General features: G+C 38.7%; 1 protein-coding gene across 11 annotated transcripts in view, besides 1 other annotated feature; it reads right to left on the bottom strand.

Moving 5' to 3' along the window:
* The window catches only part of CCDC30 (coiled-coil domain containing 30), a 201,084-nt gene that overhangs the window by 120,166 nt on the left and 54,931 nt on the right, over positions 1-25,987 (bottom strand). For 2 of the 11 annotated variants that reach the window (NM_001355224.2, NM_001355227.2), the window contains 2 exons: positions 2,036-2,136; positions 424-549 (listed from right to left, as the gene is read on the bottom strand). The exons of 5 other annotated variants lie outside the window; for them this stretch is intronic. Coding sequence is in view for 3 of the 6 variants with exons in the window: in NM_001395517.1 (NP_001382446.1) it covers positions 424-549 (126 nt within the window). In the remaining 3 variants the exon portion in view is untranslated. Of the gene's footprint in view, positions 1-423; positions 550-2,035; positions 2,137-3,073; positions 3,768-25,987 lie in introns of those variants that run through there. 4 more of the 11 variants (NM_001395517.1, NM_001395379.1, NM_001080850.4 and 1 more) reach the window with 3 other exon arrangements.
* Positions 17,781-17,981: a silencer, noted in NCBI's record as "peak194 fragment used in MPRA reporter construct". NCBI's record gives its function as "represses an SCP1 promoter by STARR-seq MPRAs in K562 erythroleukemia cells {active_cell/tissue: K562}" and the evidence as "EXISTENCE:reporter gene assay evidence [ECO:0000049][PMID:32103011]".

Genomic DNA, 25,987 nt, shown 5'->3' with positions numbered 1-25,987 from the left:
ACCCTAATTCCCAATATGGACTGTATTTGGAGATAGATAGGGTTGATAAGGAGGTGATAAAGGTCAAATGAGGATATAAGGGTGGGGCCTTAATCCAATAGGGTTAGTGCCTTTATAGGAAGAGGAAGAGACACCAGAGCTTGCTCACTCTGTCATGTGAGGACACAGCAAGAAGGTGGCCATCTGCAAGCCAGGAAGAGAACCCTCACCAGGAACTGACTTGGCTGGCACCTTGATCTTGGACTTCCCCTCCTCCATAACTGTGAGAAAATAAAATTCTGTTCTTTGAGCCACCTAGTCTGTGGTGTTTGGTTATGGCAGCCCAAGCTGAGACACATAGTTATACTTTATTTAAAAATGATAACATGAAATCCCTAAATTAGAACTACAAGAAGAAGAAAACAGCTTCCTGAATGGTAATACCTCACTTTCAACTTTCAAGGCCTTCTCTGCAGTGTCAAGACCAGATGCCAACTGCTTCTCTCTCTCTCTCTCTTTTGACCACTCACTTTCAAACATTTCATTTTTTTCTTGGCTCATTTTCAGGATCTGTAAAAAGCATTTTACATAATTAATTTTATATATAATAGCAGTGTTTCCTACAAATTCTGATAATAACAACTTTCTAACTCAATAATGAAATCATCCAGGGGATTTATGAACCTAGGAAAACTAGTTTATAGCTCATAAGATACATTTTTCTCTCTAAGCCTTAATTTACACAATGGTAAAATGTAGTAACACTTGTTCTACCTACATTATAGCCATCACAGTAGGAATAAAATGTGATTTTGAAAGTATTTTATAAAATTTAATCACTTATCAAATATAAGGCAGTATTGAAATCTTTCCAAATTATTTGAAAATAATAAAAATTGGACTCATAATGATAACAGCTACTTTATATTGAGGACTTACCACATGTCAGAGACTATGGTAAGTATGTTAGATGCATTATTTCATTTTGTTTTCCTAGGACCCCTATGAGATTGGAATTATTATTACATTATTTTTACAGAGGAGACAGGTGAGGCTCAGATATGTTACATAATTTGTCCAAGTTCACACAGTCAGTACTGGAATTCTAAGTCAAGTCTAACTTAAATCTCTTACTTTTAATATCTACTCTATTCAGCCTTGCCAAAGTGAATTTTCTGTTATGTAAAAAAACCTATTAGGAGATAAAATTGAGATCAAAATACAACTTAGGAACACAACAAAAACTGAGCCAATTTCTTTGATGAGCACACTATCACCAAGCAGCAGACCCCTCTCCATTGTTTATTTTTTTAATTTTTTAAAATTTATATATATAATATATATATATAGTAGTGATGGGATTTCACCATGTTGCCCAGCCTGTTCTCAAACTCCTGGGCTCAAGCGATCCACTCACCTCGGCCTCCCAAAGTGCTGGGATTACAGGTGTGAGCCACCGTGCCCGGCCGACCCCTCTCCATTGTAAAAGCCAACCTGTCAAATGAACTAATTGCACATTTGGTTTGGCCAGTCAGGAAGCAGCTGAAATTGGCACATCTATATTTTGTAACTTGGGAAATGCAGAGTGGTATGTAGGAACAGCCCTCCCAGTCCTGTTCTACTGGTTTCCAACAATGGCATCCCGAGCTAGTTACCTCACTTTTCTTAGCCTTAGTTCCTCATATTAAAAATACAGATAATGATGCCTGGACATATATGGGCTCCTCACTTATAGAAAATGCTCTGTAAGTGGCAGTTTATATTATTATTGGATTGTTCCAAATTTTTACATTCATTCGTTAGTAAGGCAATACCTTTAAACCATCCTTATAATTTCAACATACCAGTTTATCCTAAATACATTAGTAAATGGGCTCCTTACTGATTGAGTACTCCTGGCAAGGTTTTCTGTAACCACTGGTCACAATCATAGGATGTACATTCCTAGAAGTGTGCTTTCTCCTTTTGCCTATTTTCAGTGATTCTTGAGCATCCTTATGGTGTCTGCCTTACCTCTATTAGAAAACGTAACTGAAAATTATCCCTTTTTTCTTACCTCATTCAAATCTTGTACTTTGTCTCTTGATCTTTTGTACTGGTTTCTCTTCTATCTTCCTATGTTACTGATAATTCAGGCTCTAACATGGAAGCCTCAATCTAAATAAATCACCAGTTACAAAATGTCATTTTAAAAAATACTGAAAAAAAGCGACATTTCTTAAGCATCTTCTTCTGAGGTAGTAGCCCTGAAATCGCTTCCTAGCAACAAGTTTCACCTCCTATCTGGTCTTGGATCCTTAAGAGATTTGCTTTATTATGGATTTGAGACTTTGCTGTTGTTTGGTAGCTGAGCCAAAGGGAACAAGTATTAGAAAAATACACTACAGAATCCTGATTGTTCTGAATTAATCAAACTACTAATTTACCTTTCTTATGTTTAATGTCAATAAAACAGAAATAACAATCCAAAGCTGATGAGTTAGAAAGAATGGGGAATGCTATTAGAAAAATGGATACTAAAATCCTAGTGTAACTTTTATAATTCCTCCTGTCCAGTGGTATGGACAAAAGATGTAGTCAAGAATCATGTCAGCTTAGCAGCACTGCACAAGGAAATGGAGAAGAATAAATGTTTTTTTCCCAGAGTACCTTCTCCCATCAGCCACCATCTGCACTGGTGAATATTTTTTCAGATTCACACATGACATGCTGATGCATTCAACACTCAAGGCAAGAATTCCTTTAGCCCCACCCTTATGGCACCTGAGATGCTTCAGTACAAAGTAGAAGAAACATCTCAACTCTTAAATATGAACCCCCCCCCTCATTTTCTTTGTCTTTTCCTAGAGTAAGAATGTCATGTATTTCAATGCTATAATTTTTAAAAGATAGCTTTCCCAAAGAATATATATTTAAAATTTACCATAATACGTGGCACATTGAATATAGTTATGCCTTTAGGCAATTTATATACTTAATGAGCCCAGTAACCAAAGTTTAAAGCAGAAAAACACAAGAAAGGGGCAATAAATAATGTGAGAGATGAGCAATAGGATACAGAGATCTCTGAGTAGCTTGAGGGAGCCTACCTCACCTGCCAGCCAGCAGTAAGCAAAGAGGACTAATGACTTAGCATGGGTAGCCACCAACGACTCTGGAGATGGTGTAACAGCTCAGAATTTTCCACTTTCAATGTTCTACTCTCTGAAAGGTGGGGATCACCTAATGCTCTGAACTAAACTGTGCCTCCCTGCATAGTATGACAAGTTTTATTGTCGTCCCACTGTGTGCTTGCGTTGTGCTGCGCCCTCTCACAGGCACAGTCAAATGAAAAGATGAATGCAGGCACTGTAGAAAATAAAATACTGCCTGGTCATCACCTGTAGGTGGAAGCGGTTTATGTGCTCAGTGCTGGGTATGCTGTAGCCCTCATGAGTTATAATAAGTCCCCTATATAAATCTCCTCTGTAAGTTGCCCCAAGAGTTGTTATGGTGTAGAAAATGAGCCCTGGGGCCAGATAAACCTGGATCAGCTCCTGGCTGCAACTATTACTTTGGTCAAGTTCCCTTAAGTTCTCACAAATATGTAATGGGAATACTCCTGCTTACTCTGGGGAGGGCTGTGTAAAATATGACAAGGTTTCTCTTCAACCAACCTAATTAATCCTTTATTCTTTAATTCTCAATACCCCTCCACCTCTCTTTCTTCTTCTTTCTTTCTGCTTTTACTACATGCCCAGGCATGCCACAACACCAGTGACGTTATCAACACCAGCTCACATTCCTTTCCTTATTTTTTAAAAAACTGACTCTCTAACTTGCCACAGACAACCCCTTCCCTCTCTCTCCTCTCTCCCTTACGTGCCCACCTTATCTAAAAAAAAGTTTAAATGTTTATCCAATCAAGTCTAGTTTAAATTATACAGTCCAACCCCACCCAGTGGGGAAAGGGCACAGGGACAAGATTTACGTCAAAACTAAAAGCTTTTGGCCGGGCAAGGTGGCTCACGCCTGTAATCCCAGCACTTTGGGAGGCCGAGGCGGGTGGATCACGAGGTCAGGAGATCGATACCACAGTGAAACGCCGTCTCTACTAAAAATACAAAAACAAAATTAGCCGGGCGCGGTGGCGGGCGCCTGTAGTCCCAGCTACTTGGGAGGCTGAGGCAGGAGAATGGCGTGAACCCGGGAGGCGGAGCTTGCAATAAGCCAGACGGTGCCACTACACTCCAGCCTGGGCGACAGAGGGAGACTCCGTCTCAAAAAATAAATAAATAAATAAATAAAAACTTTCACCCTCCTTTATTGTATACGCTCTCATAACGACCAGCCATATGGGCGGCACCCCCCTGCACAAAAGTAAATTTGCTTTGCTGAAAAATCCTTTATCTAAGTGCTCATTTTCCTTACAACTCCAAGGTCTATTTCTAACGCTGTTATTGGGATTAAATGAGATTATGTTTGTTAGACACCTAGAACAGATCATGACACATGATAGATGCTCAATATATTGTGGCTATTATTTTCCTACCAGATACCTAGCATTTCTTCTATTTTAAGCATGTTCTCTGAGAACACGTGTAATAACAGCACTAAGATGGTCTATTTAGTGATAAGTCTGTCTCCATAGAGAAATGGGTAAGGAACACAGTTACATCTTGAGAAGAGTGCTTGATATAAGGGAATGATTTCCTAAATTATTTTTCCTTTTTAAGTCACAGGACTCCCATCTCCCCTTTATTTTCATAATAATTCTTATGGAAAAGCCCTTTACAGAGTTCCCAGAAGTGGAGATTTCTCTGACTGATGTGGAGGTAGAAGACCCACAGCTTTCTATTTATGAAACATCAAAGATCCCTGGAACACAGTTTGGAAACTACGATGGCAAAAACATTAAGTCTTTTTTTGTTTGTTTTTTAAGAGACAGGGTCTCACCATGTTGCCCAGGTTGATCTTAAACTCCTAGGCTCAAGCAATCCTCCCACTTTGGCCTCCCGAAGTGCTAGGATTATAGGTATGAGCCACTGCACCCGGCCAAAACATAGGTCTTGTAGTTAGGTTGAGATTTGAAATCTTGACTTTCACATTTTACAAATCTGTGATCTTGGTTTTCTCATGTGTAAATCAGGGTGAACAATACCTACCCTCTCTGAATTTCTGTTAAAATAAGTTATGTCAAACCCCCAGGAGAGTCATTACAACACTGAAGAGACTCATATATTAGTTTCTATCTGTATTTGACAGGGTTCTTTGGAGAAACAGAACCAACAGAAGATTTTATATATATATAGTATGATCTCACTATCATTCAGGCTGAAGTGCAGTTGTATGATCACAGCTCACTGCAACCTCTGTCTCTCGGCACAAGCAATCCTCCCACCTCAGCCTCCTGAGTAGTTGGAACTACAGGCATGCGCCGCCACGCCTAGCTAATTTTTGTATTTTTTTGTGGAGGTGGGGTTTTGCCATGTTGCCCAGGCTGGTCTCAAACTCCTGGACTCAAGTGATCTACCTGCCTTGGCCTTCCAAAATGCTAGGATTACAGGTGTGAGTCATTGTGCCCAGCCCAAAAATAATGTTTAATCAGGTATCTGGGCATCCCAAACCTCAGTCAAGTTGACATATGAAGTTAACCAGTACACCATCTATGCTAGTTCATTCTTGCATTTATAATAGTATAAAAAACTACCTGAGACTGGGTAATTTATAAAGAAAAGAGGTCTAATTGACTCACAGTTCCTCAGGCTCTACAGGAAGCATGGCTGGGGAGGCCTCAGGAAGCTTACAATCATGGCAAAAAAGGGAAGAGGAAGGAGGCACGTGTTACATGGCCAGAGCAGGAGGAAGAGAGAGAGGGTGAGGTGCTACACACTTTTAAACAACCAGATCTCGTGAGAACTCACTCACTCACTATTACTAAAACAGCAAGGAGGAAGGTGTGCCCCCATGATCCAATCACCTCCCACCAGGCCACTCCTCCAACATTGGGGTTTTTATTTAATATTACAATTCAACATGAAATTTGGGTGGGAACACAAATCCAAACAATACCACCATCTTTTTACTTCCTTTTTGTAAGAAACAGAAAATAAAGTACAGCAGTCCCCCTAATCTTTGGAAGATATGTTCCAAAACCTCCAGTGGACACCTGAAACTCCCAATGGTACCAAACCCTCTATACAGTCCTCCCTTGATATCTGAGGGAGATTGGTTCCAAGATCACTGAAGATACCAAAATCCATGGATGCTCAAGTCCCTCATATAAGATGGTATAGTATTTTACATATAACCTATACACATCCTCTCATATATTTTAAATCATCTCTAGATTACTTACAATGCCTAATATAATGTAAAAGCTATGTAAATTGTTGTTACACTATTTTTAAAATGTTAAATTGAGAGATGAGTCTCATTATATTTCCCAGGCTAGTCTCAAACTCCTGGGCTCAAGCAATCCTCCTACCTCAGCCTCCCAAAGTGCTGGGAGTGAGCTACCATGGCCAGCCTGTTCTATACTTTAAATTTTATATTATTTTATTGTTGTATTGTTATTTTTTATTTTAATATTTTCAACTCATGATTGGTTGAATTGGGAGATGTGGAACCTACAGATATGAAGAGCCAACTGTACTGTTTTTTCCATGTATACATAACTAAGATAAAGTTTTATTTGTAAATTAGGCATAGTAAGAGATTAGCAACAATAATAATAAAAATATACTGTAATAAAAGTTATGTGAATGTGGTCTCTCTCTAAATATCTTATTGTACTGTACTTATCCTTCTTGAGATGATGTGAGATGGCACAATGCCTAAATAATGAGGTGAAGGTGAATGACTTAGGCATTATGACATGGCATTAGACTACTACTGACCTTCTGATGATACTTGAAAAGTAGAGTCATCTGCTTTGAGTGATCTTGGATCACTGAGCCATGATGATGTCCATGGTTGCATGTCAGGAGCAGGCTGACTAATGCCCATGACTAATGGGTATACAGTGTGTATGTTGTAGGTGCACTGGTCGAAGGGATGATTCCCATCCCAGCAGGACAGTGTAAGATTTCATCATGGTACTCAGAATGGTTCACAACTTAAAACTTATGAGTTGCTTATTTATGGAATTTTGCATTTAATATTTTCAGTCTGCAGTTGACTGCAGGTAGCTGAAACTGTGGAAAGCGAAACTGAAAATAAGAGGGAACTACTGTAGTCAGCGATAAGGAAGGAATGACTGAAGGAAACAACCCATGCCAGGAATAGCATATTACTAGGTCAAGGTCTGGAAACAAGTTAATGGGAATGGGCTGTTACTCCTTACCTGCTGACTACAGCACTCAGTTCACTTAATTCCTATGCTGAAAATGATCCTTCAGTTAATACTTGTTGCTATCACCATCACCTGGCTGCCAAACACCATCAAGAAATCTTGAGGCTTTTCCTTCATGAAAGATTAAGAGAGAACTTGGAAGGCAAAATCTTTCTTTAGGAAATGATTTTAGAAGGTCATTTAACTCTAATTGATTATTACTAACTGAGACCATTTATTTATTTATTTATTTATTTATTTTGAGATGGAGTTTTGCTCTTTCACCCAGACTGGAGTGCAGTGGCATGATCTCAGCTCACTGCAACCTCTGTCTTCTGGTTTCAAGCTATTCTCCTGCCTCAGCCCCCCAAGTAGCTAGGATTACAGGCGTCCGCCACCACGCCCAGCTAATTTTTGTATTTTTAGTATTTTTGTATTTTCACCATGTTGGCCAGGTTGGTCTCGAACTCCTGACCTTATGATCCGCCCACCTTGGCTTTCCAAAGTACTGGGATTACAGGCGTGAGCCACCGCAGCAACTCATTTTCCGGTTTTAAAGATTTCTACTTGCTAACATCTTTAAAAAGAAGAAATATTTACAGTGTTCATTAGTCCAATCCAGCTTGCTTTATGTGGGATGATGTAAGTGAAAGGATTATTAGAGTCAATATAAAGCTTTATTTTCTAATTTTAGAAATCCACACAAACTTCAGTCTAGATGACAAGGAAAAGAAAACTGGTTTACATCACAGCTTAGAGGATTGAGGTTAGACACACATACACTATTCTGGTACTTAATGTTAAACGTTAGGGAAAACCATGTGATCTTTTCTGAACATCTTTTGAAATAAAACAGATGCTCATTTATCCAGAATGTCACAGATAACATTTGTCAAAGAGGGAGGTAGATTAACCAGGTATTCTCCAATGATCTTCTCCAAGCATAAGTTCTACGATACAGACAGCCATGTGGAGGTACACCACTGATACCTCCCTTCAAAAAAGTACTTGCTTCTCTTCCCAGGTAGCCTCCAGTGAATGACTGAGCATGGTGGGAATATTAAGGCCCACCCAATTCTGCCCAATGTGTAATTCCTCTACAGGTTATCAATGTTCCAAAATCGTCTGTTGGGCTGGCAGAGACTTTCTCAGAGCTACACTACAGTTTGAGGCTCTTCCTACCCAATCAATCTTCCTTCTTTCTCCCTCTCATTTAACAGATGTCAGACCTGCATTGTGATCTGAAGGCTTTCCCTGGCCATGTCTGCTCCTTACCTTTATACTTCATAGATGCCCCCTCAATAACTCTTGAAATTCTATGTTCATCGTGGGGCCTGCTTCCCATATCAAGCCTCCTTCACACGGATATATGAATGACAGAGCAAGGTGTGGGCCACAATTGTGGTCACCATGAAAGAAAAAAGAAGTCAGAGTTTAAGCCATTCTCACATAGGTAGTCTTTGGAAAAATATTTCTCTTTTGGAAGACAACTTATCAGAGCTAGCACACCTATTCTATGTTCCAACTGGTTTGTTCTAGACTTCATTGCCACTAGAAAAGGTAGAGGAGGCCGGGCTCAGTGGCTCATGCCTGTAATCCCAGCACTTTTGGAGGCCAAGGAAGGTGGATCACCTGAGGTCAGGAGTTCGAGACCAGCCTGGCCAATGTGGTGAAACCCCATCTCTACCAAAAATACAAAAATTAGCTGGACGTGGTGGTGGGCACCTGTAATCCCAGCTACTCGGGAGGCTGAGGCAGGAGAATCACTTGAACCCGGGAGGCAGAGGTTCCAGTGAGTCGGTATCGCGCCATTGCACTCCAGCCTTGGTGACAAGAGCAAAACTCGGTTTCAAAAAAATAAAAAAAGAAAGAAAGAAAGAAAAAGAAAAAAAAAGAAAGAGTAGAGAAGATGAGGTTAAAAGATTAGAAAACACAACTACCCTCCTTCCCAGACACCACAGGAAGGAGCAATACTCAACATCATTAATCTTTTTCCTAGAATGTGGGAAGGAAGAATGGGAGGTTAGTGAGATTTGCATAAGAGATTCAGTCTGCTTTTCTTTATGTTTTGTTTGAAAAATTTGACCTTTTAAAAACTGTAGTGTTACATGTGTACAATAGTTTCCTTCAGTAATTCTAAAGAAAATGTTATCCTGTTAAATAAAATCACCTTTCTTCTTATTGATTTGTTTGTATGTTTACTCATTAATTCACTCAATGATTACTGAGTACAAAATATGCCTTCATTCTTTGCTGAGTCCTAGGGACATTATTATTCTCATTTTACAGGTAAGGAAGTTAAGGACAGAGAGCTAAGTAATGTGTTCAAGGTCACAATGTAGTTGATAAGAGCTAGGATGTGAACCCAGGCAGACTGTTTCCAAAGTGTGCTCCCAACATCTAAACTAAAGTTGCTTGATCACATCTTTCTGTGTTACAAATACCCCTGTGGTCCTATCCTAGTAGATTGTCACAGTGGGAAAGCACAGATATGCAAGCAGATAAGTTACCCTGTAAAGTTATCAGCTCTGTAGTAGGGGTGTACAACAAGTACTGAGGCAGTCAGAGGACATTATGTATTGACCCAAATCCTTATACTTGAAAGAAGTTTTACTAGAAACACATGTATTTATTTTCAGGTTACCTTCCTGGTCAGCTTTACACCCTTCAGAGCAGTTATTTTGAAAAATGATGAACACAAAGTATGTTGGAAATCCATGTTTAAAATCACCTCTGAAATGGTGAACACACGCAAAAAAACAAAAACAAAAACAAACCCAGATAATAAGTAATCATCTTTCTGGGAAAGGTTGATTTTTAGGGGGAACAGTTAATATGTTCAGATATTCAGAGACAAATTTGAAAATTTACTTGTGTAACAGTTTGGGGGAAGTTTCATTCTATAAGACAAACTATCTTATGTAACTATGCAGTCAATTTGTAAAGAAAAATTTAAAAATAGTTTTTATCCAATGCATGTGGCAAACATGACTAAAGCACCCCAGGAAAACTGTACTGAAGGAGATACAATATTAGGGTAGATAAATTTTGGTGTATTCACATAAAAAATAAAAAAAATTGATTTTAAACCACAGAACATTAAGTCTAGAGAGTCATTCCCTCTGATACAGAGGACAAAAACCTTGGAGATCCATATTTAAAAGATCAATTTCTTTAGCACCTGGAAAAGAGATCCAAATAAAAACAAGGCCTGGGAAAAGGATATGAATTATTCAGGTAGTCAAGCAGAGATAGTTCTGGGATGATATCATTTGTATGATTTGACAAAATGAGCCAGAACTTAGAAATTACTCAGCGAGAAGAAAACGACCTCAAAACCCAACCCTCCAACAAAAAAATAGACATGAAAAACAGGTCATGGAAAAAGAAAAAAAGGGCCATGACGGAATAATGAGGATGAGATTTTCCTCACCCTTACACATGGAAGAGTGGAAAAATACTTATAAAACAACTCTTCTCAGACACTTGACAAGAGACATTGGGGGACTTTACTCCACTAGAGATGGGTGGAAATTAGGTGACACTACAACTGCCAGGGATTTCTGCCTTGAAATACTTTCTAGAGTGTGGTGATATGAGGGAAATCCTGTATAGAGCATAGCAATCTTGTGGAATTGAGGAGACAGAGAAAGGAGTTCAGAAAGATGAAATGGCAGAAATACGTGGGATAGAGTACCACAGAAAAGGGAGCCACACAGAGAAAAGAACTGCAGAAATCTGCAGTTTTTCAAGTCTTTCCTGAATACTGAGCCACACATGAGTAGGGCAAAACTCCACAAAGATAAGCAAAGAACAATGAGAGAGCTGTAAGAACAATTCTCAGAGGTCAGCAGGGTTGGGAGATGTTTGAGTTCTGACCAGCTAGATCAGAGAGTCCTTATTGAACACCCAGGGTCACACCATAAGGGTAGGACTATTCTAGCCCTAGAATAAAAGTTCCTATAAATCTGCCCTAAGGAAGCTTAAAAACAATCCAGAAAGAATTAAGCTATTCAGCAAGTAACTTAACCTACTGTGAAAACAAAGTTTAATATTATTTAAGCAAGACAATAAAATTCAGTCCTCGACAATATAAAATTCATAATGTCCAATATCCAGTAAAATATTATTAAACCTTCAAAGAAACAAGTGCAACACAACTAGGAAAAAAATCAGTGAATAGAAACAGACCTAGAAGTGACAATGTATTTTTTAAGAGACCTAATGAATAAAAGATAAAAGATATTCAAAAAAGAACTAATGAAATTTCTAGAGATAAAATTTTCAACACTTTAAATGAGTGATTCATGGGATGGGATTAAAAACACAATAAACACTACAGAAAAAAAATGAGTGAACTTGAAAACAACAATAGAAATTATCAAACTAGAACAAAGAGAGAAAAACTGGGGAAAAAATGAACAGAGCCTTTGTGAAAATACCAAAGGATGTAAACACATGTAGTTGGATTCACAGAAGTGGAGCAATACAAAAAATTTTGAAGAAGTGAAGAAATAATGGCTAAACTTTTTCCATATTTGAGGAAAACTATAAACTCACAGAATCTAGAAGCTCAAATACTCCCAAGCAAGATAAGTACTAAGAAAACCAAGAGAAACTGTAATCAAACTGCTAAAAAAATTTCATAAATGCCAGAGAAAAAAGAAATAGTAAATATAGAAAAACAAAGATAAGAATGACTATGAGCTTGTCAAAAACTATGAAAGCAAGAAGACAAAGGAATGATATCTATAAAGTATTGTTAAAAGAAAGTCAACTTAAAATTCTATATCCAGTGAAAACATTCTTCAAAAATGAAGGCCAGGAGAGATGACAGATTGGGAAACACCAGAAATCTGTCTCTCCACCTAAACAATAATCCTGCTGGTGGCATCTGTCTGATACGAATATTTTTGAACTCTGGAGTCTATTAAAGGCTTGAAACTTCTAGAGAAAGGGTTGGATGGTAAATTGCTGTTAATTTCTATCAGTTTAAGCTCTTAGCCCTGCAGCAGCCATCTCCTCTCCTCCACCCCTGTGGCAGGCAGTGTGCATGAGTTCCTGGAACAGCTTGCATGCAACGTGTGGGAGTCAAAATGGACAACAAGGATGCTTTCCTTTAAGTATTGGGGATTTGTGTTCTGATGGGTGATTGCTGCTTTCGCTCATGTAGGTACAGACAGAGTCAGGTGGCCATTGTTTTTGCACCTCCACCCATTGTTGCAAGCCCCTCCCCCTCTGGCAGAGGTGACATTCAGGAGATTCAAAGGGCTAGCATCCTTTTTCTTCTCTCCTTAATTTTTCTCTTTTTCCCTTTTTGGAAGCCAGTCATTAAAGAGCAGAACATTTGAAAGCAACTGCGTATAGAGAGGAAACTGGAAAATCCACTGCATATGATAAGGGAAAGGCACACACTCAGAAAAGACTCCAGAAGACCTTAAGCTTATACATCAGGCTAATGCCACAACAATAAAAAACAAAACAAAATAAAGCAAAAACAGCAATCCCTGGGAGGGTGGCGAATCTGATTTCGAGAGTTACCACATTAGATTCAGATGTTCAATTTTTAAGAAAAAAAAATACAAAGAAACATGAAGGTGTGGCCCATTTAAAACTTAAAAAAAAAAAGAAAACAAAACCAACAGAAACTGTCCCTGAAAAAGACCATATGGCAGATCTACTACACAAAGACTTTTAAAAAACTATATTAAGGAAGCTTATGGACACATGGAGAAAGTCAAGAAAATAATGTATGAACAAAACAGAAATATCAGTAAAGAGATAGAAAACCTAAAAAGAAACAAAAAGAATGTCTAGAACTGAAAAGTACAACAACTGAAATAAAAAATTCACTATAGGGATTCAAAGGCAAATTTGAGCAGGCAGAAGAAATAATCAGTGAACCTGAAGATATGACAATTGAAATTACTGAGTTTGAGGAACAATAACAACAAAACAAAATTGAAGAAAAGTGAACAGAGGCTAAGGCAGCTGTGGGACATCATCAGGTGGGCCAACATACACACTGGGGAGTCCCAGAAGAAAGAGAGGGCAGAGAGATTATTTGAAGAAATAATGGGTGAAAACTTCCTAAATTTGATGAAAGGCATGAATACAAACAACCAAGAGGCTCAACCAACTTGAAATAAGATGGGCTCAGAGACGACCACACCAAGACACATTATAATCAAACCGTTGAAAGACAAAACCAAAAGAAAATGTTGAAAGCAGCAAGAGAGAAGCAACTTATCACACACAAGGAATCCTCAATGAGATTAACAGCAAAATTCTCCTCAGAAACTTTGGCAACCAGAAGGCAGTGGGCTGAAATATTCTAAATTCTAACAGGAAAAAATTGTCAGTCAAGAATCCTATATCTGGCAAAACTGGTCCTTCAGAAATGAGACAGAATTTAAGACATTCCTAGGTATGTCTGGGGGAGAAAAGCTGTAAAGTTGTTTACGTTATACCTGCTATTCAAGAAATGCTAAAAGGAGACCTACAGGTTGAAATGAAAGGACAGTAGACAACAACCCAAAGCCATATGAAATTAATAAAGATCTCAGTAAAAGTAAATACACCGGCTATTATAAAAACCAGTACTAGCTGGGTGCAGTGGCTCATGCCTGTAATCCCAGCACTTTGGGAGGCTGAGGTGGGCAGATTACCTGAGGTCAGGAGTTTGTGACCAGCCTAGCCAACATGGTGAAAGCCTGTCTCTACTAAAAATACAAAAATTAGCCAGGTGTAGTGGTGTGCACCTGTAATCCCAGCTACTCGGGAGGCTGAGGTGGGAAAATCACACACTCCAGCCTGGGCAACAGAGTGAGACTCCATCTCAAAAAAAAAGAAAAAAAAGTAATATTGTAACAATGGTTTGTAACTCCACTTTTTGTTGTCTACATGATTTAAGAAAGAATATATTTAAGAAAATTATTGGTCTAAAAGCTAGTATTATTGTAACTTTGGTTTATAACTCCACATTTTGGCTTCCACATAATTGAAAAGATTCATTTATTTTTTAGTTGTTAGTTTATGTTTTTGGAAACACATTTGTACAAAGATGTAATTTTGGGACATCAAAACTGAAAGGGATAGTGATGGCTGTAAATGAGCAGAGTTTTTGTATGATACTGAAGTTAACCTAAAGAAATTCAATTTAGAGTATCATAACTTTAAGATGTTAAATGTAACTTTCACATTAACCTTAAGTAAAATAGTTACAGAATATACACAAATGGAAATGAGAAGAAAAGAAAAGTGTTTTACTATCCAAAGTCAACTAAACATAAAAGGGTAATGCAGGAAATAAGTGGGGGAAGCTAACAAAGCATATAGAAGACAAATAGCAAAATGACAGAAGTAAGACCCCCCTTTTCTGTAATTATTTTAAATGTAAATGGATTAAACTCTACAATAAAAAGACAGAGATTGGCAAATTGGATTAAAAAAGTCCAACTACAGTTGGCTCTCTGCATCTGTGGGTTCCATATCTGCCATTTCAACCAACCCTGGATTGAAAATATTAAAAAAAATAAAAATAACAATATGACAATAAAATGCAAATAAAAATGATACAGCATAACAACTATTTATACAACACTTACATTGTATTAAGTATTGTAAGTAATCTAGAGATAATTTAAAATATATGGGAGAATGTGCATAAGTTCTATGCAAATACCTACACCATTTTATATAAAGGCCTTGAAAATTTTGTATCTGTGAGGGGTCCTGGAATAAATCCCCTTATGATACTGCAGGATGACTGTATATACAGTCTAAAAGATAAAAGTAGACTGAATGTGAAAGAATAAAAAAAGACATTTCATGCAAATAGTAACCAAATTAGAACAGGGAAATTACTACACTATACTAATATCAGACAAAATAAACATTCAATTTCAAAAAGGTTACAAAATATTGTAAAATATATTATATATTAATAAAAGGCTCAATATAGTAAAAATATATCATAATTACACATATTTTGGCAAATAATAAGACCATCAAAAAACAAAAGAAAAAATTTACAGAATTGAAGGGAGAAACAGACTGTTCAAGAATAAATGGAGTCAATACCCTACTCTCAATGATGTATTAAATAACCAGACCAAAAGTAGGTAAGGAAATAGAGGACTTGAACAACACAATAAGCCAACTAGAGCTAACAGACATATACAAGATGCTATAACCAACAGCAATAGCTTACACATTCTTCTCAACTGCACACAGGACAATCTACAAGATAGATCATATGTTAAACCACAAATTAAGTCTCAATAGATTTTAAAAAACAGATATCATACAAAGTATCTTCTCCAACTGAAACAGGATAAAGTTAGAAATTAACAGGAGGAAAACAGAAAAATTCACAATTTGTAGAAACTAAACAACACACTTTTAAAAAACCAATGGATCAAAAAATAAGTCACAAAGAAATTAGAAAATACTTGGCCAGGTGTGGTGGCTCATACCTGTAATCCCAGCACTTTGGGAGGCCGAGGCGGGTGGATCATGAGGTCAGGAGATTGAGACCATCCTGGCTAACATGGTGAAACCCCGTCTCTACTAAAAATACAAAAAAAAAAAGTTAGCCAGTCGTGGTGGCGGGCGCCTGTAGTCCCAGCTACTTGGGAGGCTGAGGCAGGAGAATGGCGTGAACCCGGGGGGCGGAGCTTGCAGTGAGCCAAGATTGCACCACTGCACTCCAGCCTGGGCAAAAGAGCGAGACTCCGTCTCAAAAAAAAAAAAAGAAAAAAGAAAATACTTAAAGATGAGGCTGGGGGCTGGGTGCGGTGGCTCACGCCTGTAATCCCAGCACTTTGGGAGGCTGAGGCAGGTGGATCACGAGGTCAGGAGATCAAGACCATCCTGGCTAATACAGTGAAACCCCGTCTCTACTAAAAATACAAAGAAAAAAAAATTAGCTGGGTGTGGTGGCAGGTGCCTGTAGTCCCAGCTACCCGGGAGGCTGAGGCAGGAGAATGGCATGAACCCAGGAGGCAGAGCCTGCAGTAAGCCACGATCACGCCACTGCAATCCAGCCTGGGTGACAGAGTGAGACTCTGTCTCAAAAAAAAAAAAAAAAAAAAAAAAGATGAGGCCGGGCGTGGTGGCTCATGCCTGTAATCTTAGCACTTTGAGAGGCCGAGATGGGCAGATCACGAGGTCAGGAGTTTGAGACCAGCCTGACCAACATGGTGAAACCCTGTCTCTACTAAAAATACAAAAATTAGCCGGGCATGGTGGTGCATGCCTGTAATCCCAGCTACTCAGGAGGCTGAGGCAGCAGAATTGCTTGAATCTGGGAGGTGGAGGTTGCAGTGAGCCAAGATCATGCCACTGCACTCCAACCTGGGCAACAGAGTGAGACTCTGTCTCAAAAAAAAAAAAGAGAAAAGAAAGAAAATACTTAAAGATCAATGAAAATGAAATCATAACACACCAAAACTTACAGATACAGAAAAAGCAAAGTGAAGGCGGGAAATTTGTAACTGCTTACAGTAAAAAATAAGAAAGATCTCAAATCAACAAGCTAACTTCACAACTTAAAGAACTAGAAAAGGAAAACAAAACAAACCTGAAGGTAGCAAAAGGAAGGAAATAAAGATTAGAAAAGAGATAAATGAAAGACAGAAATGAAAAACAATCAAGAAAATATACAAAAAGCTTTGTTCTTTGAAAAGATCAACAAAATTGACAAATCTTTAATTATATTTACTAAGAAAAAAGAGAGAAGACTCAAATTATTAAATTAGGAAGTGAGGGCATTACAACAGATACTAGAGAAATAAAAGTGATTTTAAGAGTGTACTATGAATAATTGCATATCTAGAAACTGGATGACCTAAATGAAATGCAGAAATTTCTAAAAACATGGCCAGGCATGGTGGCTCACGCCTGTAATCACAGCACTTTGGGAGGCTGAGGTGGGCGAATCACAAGGTCAGGAGTTTGAGACCAGCCTGGCCAACATGGTGAAACCCTGTCTCTACTAAAAATACAAAAAAAATTAGCCAGGCATGGTGGCAGGTGCCTGTAATCCCAGGTACTTGGGAGCCTGAGGCAGGAGAATTGCTTGAACCCAGGAGGTGGAGGATGCAGTGAGCCGAGACGGCATCATTGCACTCCAGCCTGGACAACAAGAGAGAAACTCCATCTCAATAAAACAAAACAAACAAACAAACAAACAACAAAAAAGAAATTCTAAAAACACAAAGCCTACCAAGACTAAATCACAAAGAAACAGAAAATCTGAATAGACTAACTAGTAAGAAGAATGAATCAGTAAGTAAAATCTCCCAACAAAGAAAAACCCTAGATCTGATGGCTTCATTAGTGAATTCTACCAAACATTTAAAAAAGAACTAATATCCTTTTTCCCAATGTTCCTTTAAGAAAATGAAGGGGAAGAAATACTTCTTAACACATTTGAAGAGGACATAATTACTCTAACAGCAAAGCCAGATAAAGATACCACAGGAAAAGTAAACTACAGGCCAATGCCCCTTAAGAACGTTGATGAAAAAATCCTCAACAATATACTAGCAAATTGAATTCAGTAGCATATTAAAAGGATTATAAACCATGACCAAGTAGAATTCAGTCCTGGAATGCAAGGATGGTTCAACATATTGAAACTAAATCAATGTAATACATCAGGTTAACAGAATGAACAGAAAAACACCCATATAATAATCTCAGTTGATACAGAAAAAGCATTTAACAAAATCCAACATCCTTTCATGATAAAAACACTTAACAAACATGGAACAGAAAGAATCTGCTTCAATATAAAAATCCATATGAAAAATCCACAGTGAACATTATACTCAATGGTGGAAAGACTGAAAGCTTTTGCTCCAAGATCAGACAAGGATGCCTGCACTTGTTATTTCTATCCAACAAAGTACTGGAAGTCTTAGCCAGAGCTATTAGACAACAACAACAACAAAAATAAAAGGTATCCAAATTGAAAAGGAAGAAGTAAAATTACAGTCATGTATTGTTTAATGACAGGAATACATCCTAAGAAATGTGTCGGTAGGTGATTTTGTCAGTGTGCAAACATCATAGAATGTACTTACACAAACCTAGATGGTATATCCTATTACACACCTAGGCTATATGGTTTAGCCTAGTGCTCCCAGGCTACAAATCTGTACAGCATGTTACTGTATTAAATACTATAGGCAATTAAACAAAATGGTATTTGTATATCTAAACATATCTAATCAGAAAAGGTACAATGAAAACACAGTATTATAACCATATGGGACTACTGTCACAAATGTAGTCCATTATGCTGCATAACGATATCTCTGTTTGCAGATTATATGATCTCATAAATAGAAACCTAAATATTTCACCAAAAAAACTTCTTAGAGCTAATAAATTCAAAAAGTAGTAGGACATGAAGTCAACACACATAAATTAGTTGCATTTCTATACTCTAACAATGAACAATCTGGAAAGGAAATTAAGAAAACAATTCTATTTATAATAGCATGAAAAAGAATGAAATACTTAGGAATTAGCTTAATGAAGAGAGGTGAAAGACTTGTACAATAAAAGATAGAAAACATTGGTGAAAAAATTAGGAAGATGAAAATAAATGGAAAGACATTCATGTTCATGATTGGAAAACTATTGTTACAATGTAAATACTATCCAAAGCTATCTACAGATTCAATATAATCCCTATCAAAATTCCAACAATATTTTTTGCAGAAATAAAACAATCCATCCTAAAATTTGTACAGAGCCTAAAGGGACCCCAAACAGCCACAACAATCTTGAAAAAGAAAAACAAAAGTTGGAGGACTCACACTTTCTGATTTCAAAACTTACTACAAAGCTGCAGTGTTCAAAACAGTGTCATAATTGAATAAAGACAAATATATAGACCAAGGGAATACAATAGACATCCCAGAAACAAACTCTCGCATATTTGATCTTGCATATTTGATATTTAAATGTTTGGTAGAACGAAGCCATCAAGTCTAGGGCTTTTCTTTGTTGAATGATTTTCAACAAGAGTGCAAAGACGATGGAGGAAAGAAAGTTTTCTAGTAAATGGTGATAAAACAACATCCACATGAAAAAAACTAAGTTAGACACTTACCTTACACTATTCACAAAAATTAATTCAAAAAGGATAAAAAGACCTAAACACAAGAGCTAAAACTGTAAAATTCTTTTGCAGAAAACTTAGGGGGAACTCTCCATGACTATGGATTTGGCAATGATTTCTTGGATATGACATCAAAGACACAGGCAACAAAAGAAAAATTTAAAAACTGTATTGCATAAAAACTAAAAACTTTTGAATATGGAAATAACACTACTGGCCAAGTGTGGTGGCTCACACCTGTAATCCTACCACTTTGGGAGGCCAAGGTGGGAGGATTGCTTGAGGCCAGGAATTTGAGACCAGCCTGGGCAACACAACAAGATCCCATCTCTACAATTTCTTTTTAATTAGCTAGGCATGGTGGCATTTGTCTTTGGTCCTAGCTACTCAGGAGGCTATGGCAGGAGGATTCCTTGAGCACAGGAGTTGGAGGTTACGGTGAGCTATGATCTTACCATTGCACTCCTGCCTGAGTGACAGAGCAAGACCCTGTGTCATAAATAAATAAAATAACACTGTCAACAAAGTAGAAAGGCAACCTACAAAGTAGGAGAAAATATTTGCAAATCATGTATCTGATAAGGAATATTAACATCTAGAATATACAGAGAACTTTAAAACTTATAAGAAAAACCAAACCTAATTCAATAATGAGGAAATAATTTAATAGATATTTCTCCAAAGAAGATAAACAAATGACTAATAAACACCTCAAAAGATGCTAACATTAATAATCACTAGGGAAATGCAAATCAAAACCACTATGAGATACTACCTTAGTCCATTTTGTATTGCTATAACAATACCTGAGCTGGATAATTTATAAAGAAAAGGGGGTTATTTGGTTCATGCTTCTGGTGGCTAGCAAGTTCAAGACTGAGCAGCTGCATGTGGTAAGGGCCTTATGCTATTTCAGCTTATGGTGAAAAATGGAAGAGGAGCAGATATGAGCAAGAAGAGCACGTGGAAAAAGAGAAGGCAAGAGAGAAACCAAGGAAGTCAGATTCTTTTTTTTTTTTTTTTTTTGAGATGGAGTCTTGCTCTCTCGTCCAGGCTGCAGTGCAGTGCAGTGGCGCAATCCCAGCTCACTGCAACCTCCACCTCCTGGGTTCAAGTGATTCTCTTGCCTCAGCCTCCCGAGGAATTCAGATTCTTCACATAAACTAAATCTTGCAAGAGCAAGACTCACCTCCACAGGAAGGCCTTAATCTATTCATGAGGGATCTTCCCCATGACCCAAACACCTGTCACTCGGTACCACCTCCCAATACCACCACACTGGGAATCAAATTTCAACATGAAAAGGAGTTTTGGCAGGGACAAGCCATATCCAAACCATAGTACCACTTCACACACTTAGGATGGCTACCATGAAAAAAACAGACAACAACAAATGTTGGCAATGATGTGGAGAAATTAGTATGATTCTACACGGTTGGTGGAAATGTAAAGTGATATAGTTCCTGTGGAGAATAGTATGACAGTTCCTCAAGAAAAAGTAGACACAGAATTTCCATATCATCTGACAATTTCACTTCTGGTTATATACCCCAAAGAATTTAAAGCAGGGATGCAAATATGTATTTGTACACCCATTATTTACACTAGCTAAAATGTGGAAGCCACCCAAGTATCCACTGACAGACAAATAGATCAGCAAAATGTGGTATATACATTCAATGCAATATGATTCAGCCTTAAAAAAGAAGGAAATTCTGACACATGCTATAACATGGATGAACCTTGAAGACATCATTCTAAATTAAATAAGCCAATCACAAAAAGATAAATAGTACATGATTCCCCTTATATGAAATATCTAGAGTAGTCAAAATCATAGAGACAGATAGTAAAATGGTGGTTTCCAGAGGCTGGATGCAGGGAGTATCTTAGTCCCTTTGGACTATTATAACAAAATACCATAGACTAGGTAATTTACAAACAATAGAAGTTTATTTATCAGAGTTCTAGAGGCGAGAAGTTTAAGATTAAGGTACTAGTAGGTTTGGTGTCTGGTGAGGCACCTTTCTGCTTCCAAGTTGGCACCTTGTTGCTGCATTTTCCAGAAGAAATGAACACAGTGTCCACACACAGTCTCATTTCAACCTCAAGGCCTTTTACAAAAATGCTAATGCCATTCATGAGGGCTCTGCCAAATCATCTCCCAAAGGCCACATCTCTTAATACTGTTGCATTCTAGTTACCATAACAAAATCCCACAAACTGGGGTCTTAAAACAATAGAAATGTATTATCTCACAGTTTTGAAGGCTAGAAATCTGAAATCAAGGTATTAGTAGGGCCATATTCCTTTTGAGACTCTGGGTAGCATCATTTCTTGACTCTTCCTAGCTTCTGATGATGGCTGCTTATTCTTGTTTTTTTTTTTTTGGCTTGCAGCTGCATCATTCCAGTCTCTGCCTCTGTAATCACATGGCATTCTCTCTGTGTATGACTGTCTTCACATGGCATTTCTTCTTGTTATAATTGTACCAGTCATATTGGATTAAGGCCCACCCTAATTAACTCATCTTAATTTGATTACTTCTTCAAAAGTACTATTTCCAAATAATGTCACATTTACAGGTCCTGGGGGTTAGGACTTCAATATATTTCAGGGTACAGGACACAATTCAACACCTAAGAGGCCAAGCACAGTGGCTTATGCCTGTAATCCCAGCACTTTGGGAGGCCAAGGTGTGTGGATCACCTGAGGTCAGGAGTTCAAGACCAGCCTGGCCAACATGGTGAAACCCCATCTATACAAAAATACAAAAATTAGCTGGGTATGATGGCAGGTGCCTATAATCTCAGCTACTTGGGAGGGTGAGGCAGGAGAATCACTTGAACCTGGTAGGCTGAGGTTGCAGTGAGCTGAGATCTCGCCATTGCACTCCAGCCTGGGCGACAGAGCATGACTCCATCTCAAAAACAAAAACGAAAACAAAACACATAAGAGACTAATATACAAAATATATAAAGAGCTCCTGAGACTCAACAAAAAGAATAAATAACTCCATTAAAATTGGTAAAGGATTTGAAAAAATTTTCACCAAAGAAGATATGCAAATGGCTAACAAGCACTTGAAAAGGCAGATACTCAGTATCATTAGTCATTCAGGAAATATAAATCAAAACCACATTGAGACACTACTTCACACCAGCTAGGATGGTTATAATAAAAAAGAAGGATAAGTGTTGGAGAAGATATGGAGAAACTGCAACCCTCATACACTGCTGATGAGATGTAAAATAGTACATCTTCATTGGAAAACAGTCTGGTAGTTCCTCAGAAGGTTAAATGTAGAGTTAGCATATGACCCAATAATTCCACTTCTAGGAATATCCCCAAGAGACATGAAAACATATGTCCATACAAAAACTTATAAATGAACATTCATAACAGAATTATTCATAATAATCACAAAGTAGAAACTATCAAATGTCCAATTGATGAATAAATAAACAAAATGTGATGTATATCTGATATAGTTTGGATATTTGTCCTCACCAAATCTCATGTTGAAATGTGATCTCCAATGTTGGAGGTGGGGCATTAGTGGGAGGCATTTTGATCATGAGGGGGAATCCTTCATGAATGGCTTAGTACCCTCCCCACAGTAATAAGTTCACATGAGATATGGTTGTTAAAAAGAGGCTAAGCCCTTCCCCCTCTCTCACCATGAGACAGACCTACTACTTCTTTGCCTTCAGCCATGACTGTAAGCTTCCTAAGGCCCTCACCAGAAGCAGATGCCATCATTATGCTTCTTGTACAGCTTGCAGAACTGTAAGCCAAAATAAACCTCGTCTTTATAAATTAACCAGCCTCGGGTACTCCTTTATAGCGACATAAAATACACTAATGATATAGGAGTTAAAAAGAAATTATTTAGGAAGATTTTGAGGGTAAGGAAGTCCTCATTAAGGTTTTACTTTTCATGAAAAGCACCCCCAAAATCATTTTCTTTTCTAACAAAGAGCAGTCTGTAAAATTGAGCTGCAGACATAGACAAGCAAACTGAAAACTTGCACAGGTGAATGCCGGCAGTTGTGCCAATAGGAAAAGGCTACCTGGGACTAGGCATGATCAAAATGGCGGCTCCATCTTCCCTTCTCTTTGCCAGCCACATATACAGTAAGGAGCAGACAAGATGGCGCTGGCCAAGTAGAAAACCCATTTGCATATTAAGATCAGGGTGGGGTGACAAACCTTCCCCACACACTATGTAAATATTATACCTGGTCAGGACAATCTGTTGGCCCTACATAAATCAGACACTGCCTCCTCAATCCTGCCTATAAAATCTGCTGCAGTCTGCTGCAGGTCAGCTTTTCCCTTTCAGATGCCCCTCTCTCTCACAAGAGAGAGCTGCTCTCCTCTCTCCTTTCTTCTGCCTATTAAACTTTCCCCTCCTTAACCCACCCATGTATGTCCATGTCCTTAATCTTCTTGGCATGAGACAATGAACCCTGGATATTTCCCCAGACAATGATGCTACTTCCCTTGGTGGCTTGTCCAGGATCAGAACAGGAACAGAAGGTATAACCATCAGAGTGGTAAGAATGGGAGCAAATCTCAAATCTGTCCTTTAATTTTGAGGTTCTTGGCCTCCATTTTAGAATCAAATCAAACTAAATAAAAAATACTGGGCTCCCATCAACCATTTAAAAACACGGTTAGCGTGGCTGCCAGCCTTACAAGACACAGGGGTGAGGTGTACTGAGGAGAACATGGAGAATCCCCCAGAAACCACGGGTTGCTGGGCATGTTGGCCATGTTTGAATGAGTTACTTTTCATGTTGGGCCTAGCCACCGCATGGGGCTGAGTGAGGTCCTGAAACAACTGAGGATTTCTGGTCAGGGCAACAACCTGCTATTATCCAAAGGCTTCTGGACTAATCCCAGCCTCTGACTGCTTGACTGGGTGTTGGCAAAAAGGATCTCCAGCTATCCTGTTGCAAAATTTCCTTCTTTTCTATCCATGGTTGCCATGTCTCCTATCCTCTCTCTATGTGCAATATGCGGGAAGTTTTACAGCTCAGGGAAGTGATCCTGTTAGGCAAGATCAGGAAATTCTATAGTAACAAAGGATATAACTCAGGGGAATGCTGTTGTGATTTTCTAGGATCAGAGGGTCTCCCCCCACCCGCCACAGTGAGGTCACTCCCTGCCCTTAGTCTGGAGAGCACATGGCATTTCCAGGTCACTCTCTGCCCTTGGTCAGGAAAGCATATGGCATTTCCAGGTCTGTTGGGAATGGGCCCCCAAATCTGGCCATAAACTGGCCCCAAAACTGGCCATAAACAAAATCTCTTTGAGCAGCACTGTGACATGCTCATGATGCCCTTGACGCCCACACTGGAAGGTTGTCGGTTTACCAGAATGAGGGCAAGGAACACCTGGCCCACCCAGGGTGGAAAACCACTTAAGGTGTTCTTAAACCACAAACAATAGCATGAGCGATCTGTGCCTTGAGGACATGTTCATGCTGCAGATAACTAGCCAGAGCCCATCCCTTTATTTCGGCCCATCCCTTTGTTTCCCGTAAGGAATACTTTTAGTTAATCTACAATCTATAGAAACAATGTTTATCACTGGCTTACTGTCAATAAATATGTGGGTAAATCTCTGTTCAAGGCTGTCAGCTCTGAAGGCTGTGAGACACCTGATTTCCCACTTCACACTCTATATTTCTGTGTGTGTCTTTAATTCCTCTAGCACTGCTGGGTTAGGGTCTCCACGACCAAGCTGGTCTCAGACAGGTCACTCTCTGCCCTTAGTCTGGAGAGCACATGGCATTTCAAGGTCAATAGCGCCACCTAGAGGAATAAAAATCCTCTCCATGAGGCACAATGTCGTCCCTTTGCCAAATTCTCCTCCCAATTCTCCTCCCTTTTTGCACCAATATACTAAAAATCAGGCTCTATGCCCCTTCTGTAAATGGGAAAACTCTGCTTTTGACAATTAGGAGTCCTAATTGGCCACAAATGGCCTCTGGCACCAAATTTTAGTCTTGACACTGTCCCATCGGCAGGAAAAATGCCATTTGGTCCCTACGTTCTTTTAAGGCACCTATTCTACCTCCAATTAGAACAGTACTTAAATAGTAAGGGAATTTTAGGTCCAGAAGTTAACTGGAACCATTCTCTAAGGGGAAACGCTTTAGCATGGGCCATGATAGTAGGATATAGAGTTCAATCTAGTACCCTTTCTCCATTAAAGGGGCCTTGTCCAAATGCAACTATTACATAGTATTTCCTGAGATCCATCTTTGAGGGAGGATGCAGATCACATAAGTCTAGGAAGTCAAAGGGAAATCACAAGTGGAGGACTAGAGTCACATGGGTAATCGTGACTAATCCCAGTTGCTTAGTTCCTCTGGTTCCACAACTGGGGGTCATGCCCGCAACCATGAGTGGCACATTTAACAAGGTGCTGGGACCCAGGAACCAAGGAGGGAAAACAGTAAGGGGGATGCCCTCACTGTCTTCCCCTCCACCCTGGGTCACACTGAAAGGAATAGGATTAAAGGGACGCCTTTTTCTCGCTTCTCTTTC

Source organism: Homo sapiens, chromosome 1 (assembly GCF_000001405.40).
Source record: "Homo sapiens chromosome 1, GRCh38.p14 Primary Assembly".
NCBI classification, from domain to species: Eukaryota; Metazoa; Chordata; class Mammalia; order Primates; family Hominidae; genus Homo; species Homo sapiens.
Note: the sequence above shows the minus strand (reverse complement) of the source record. Positions and strands in the feature narration are given on the sequence as shown.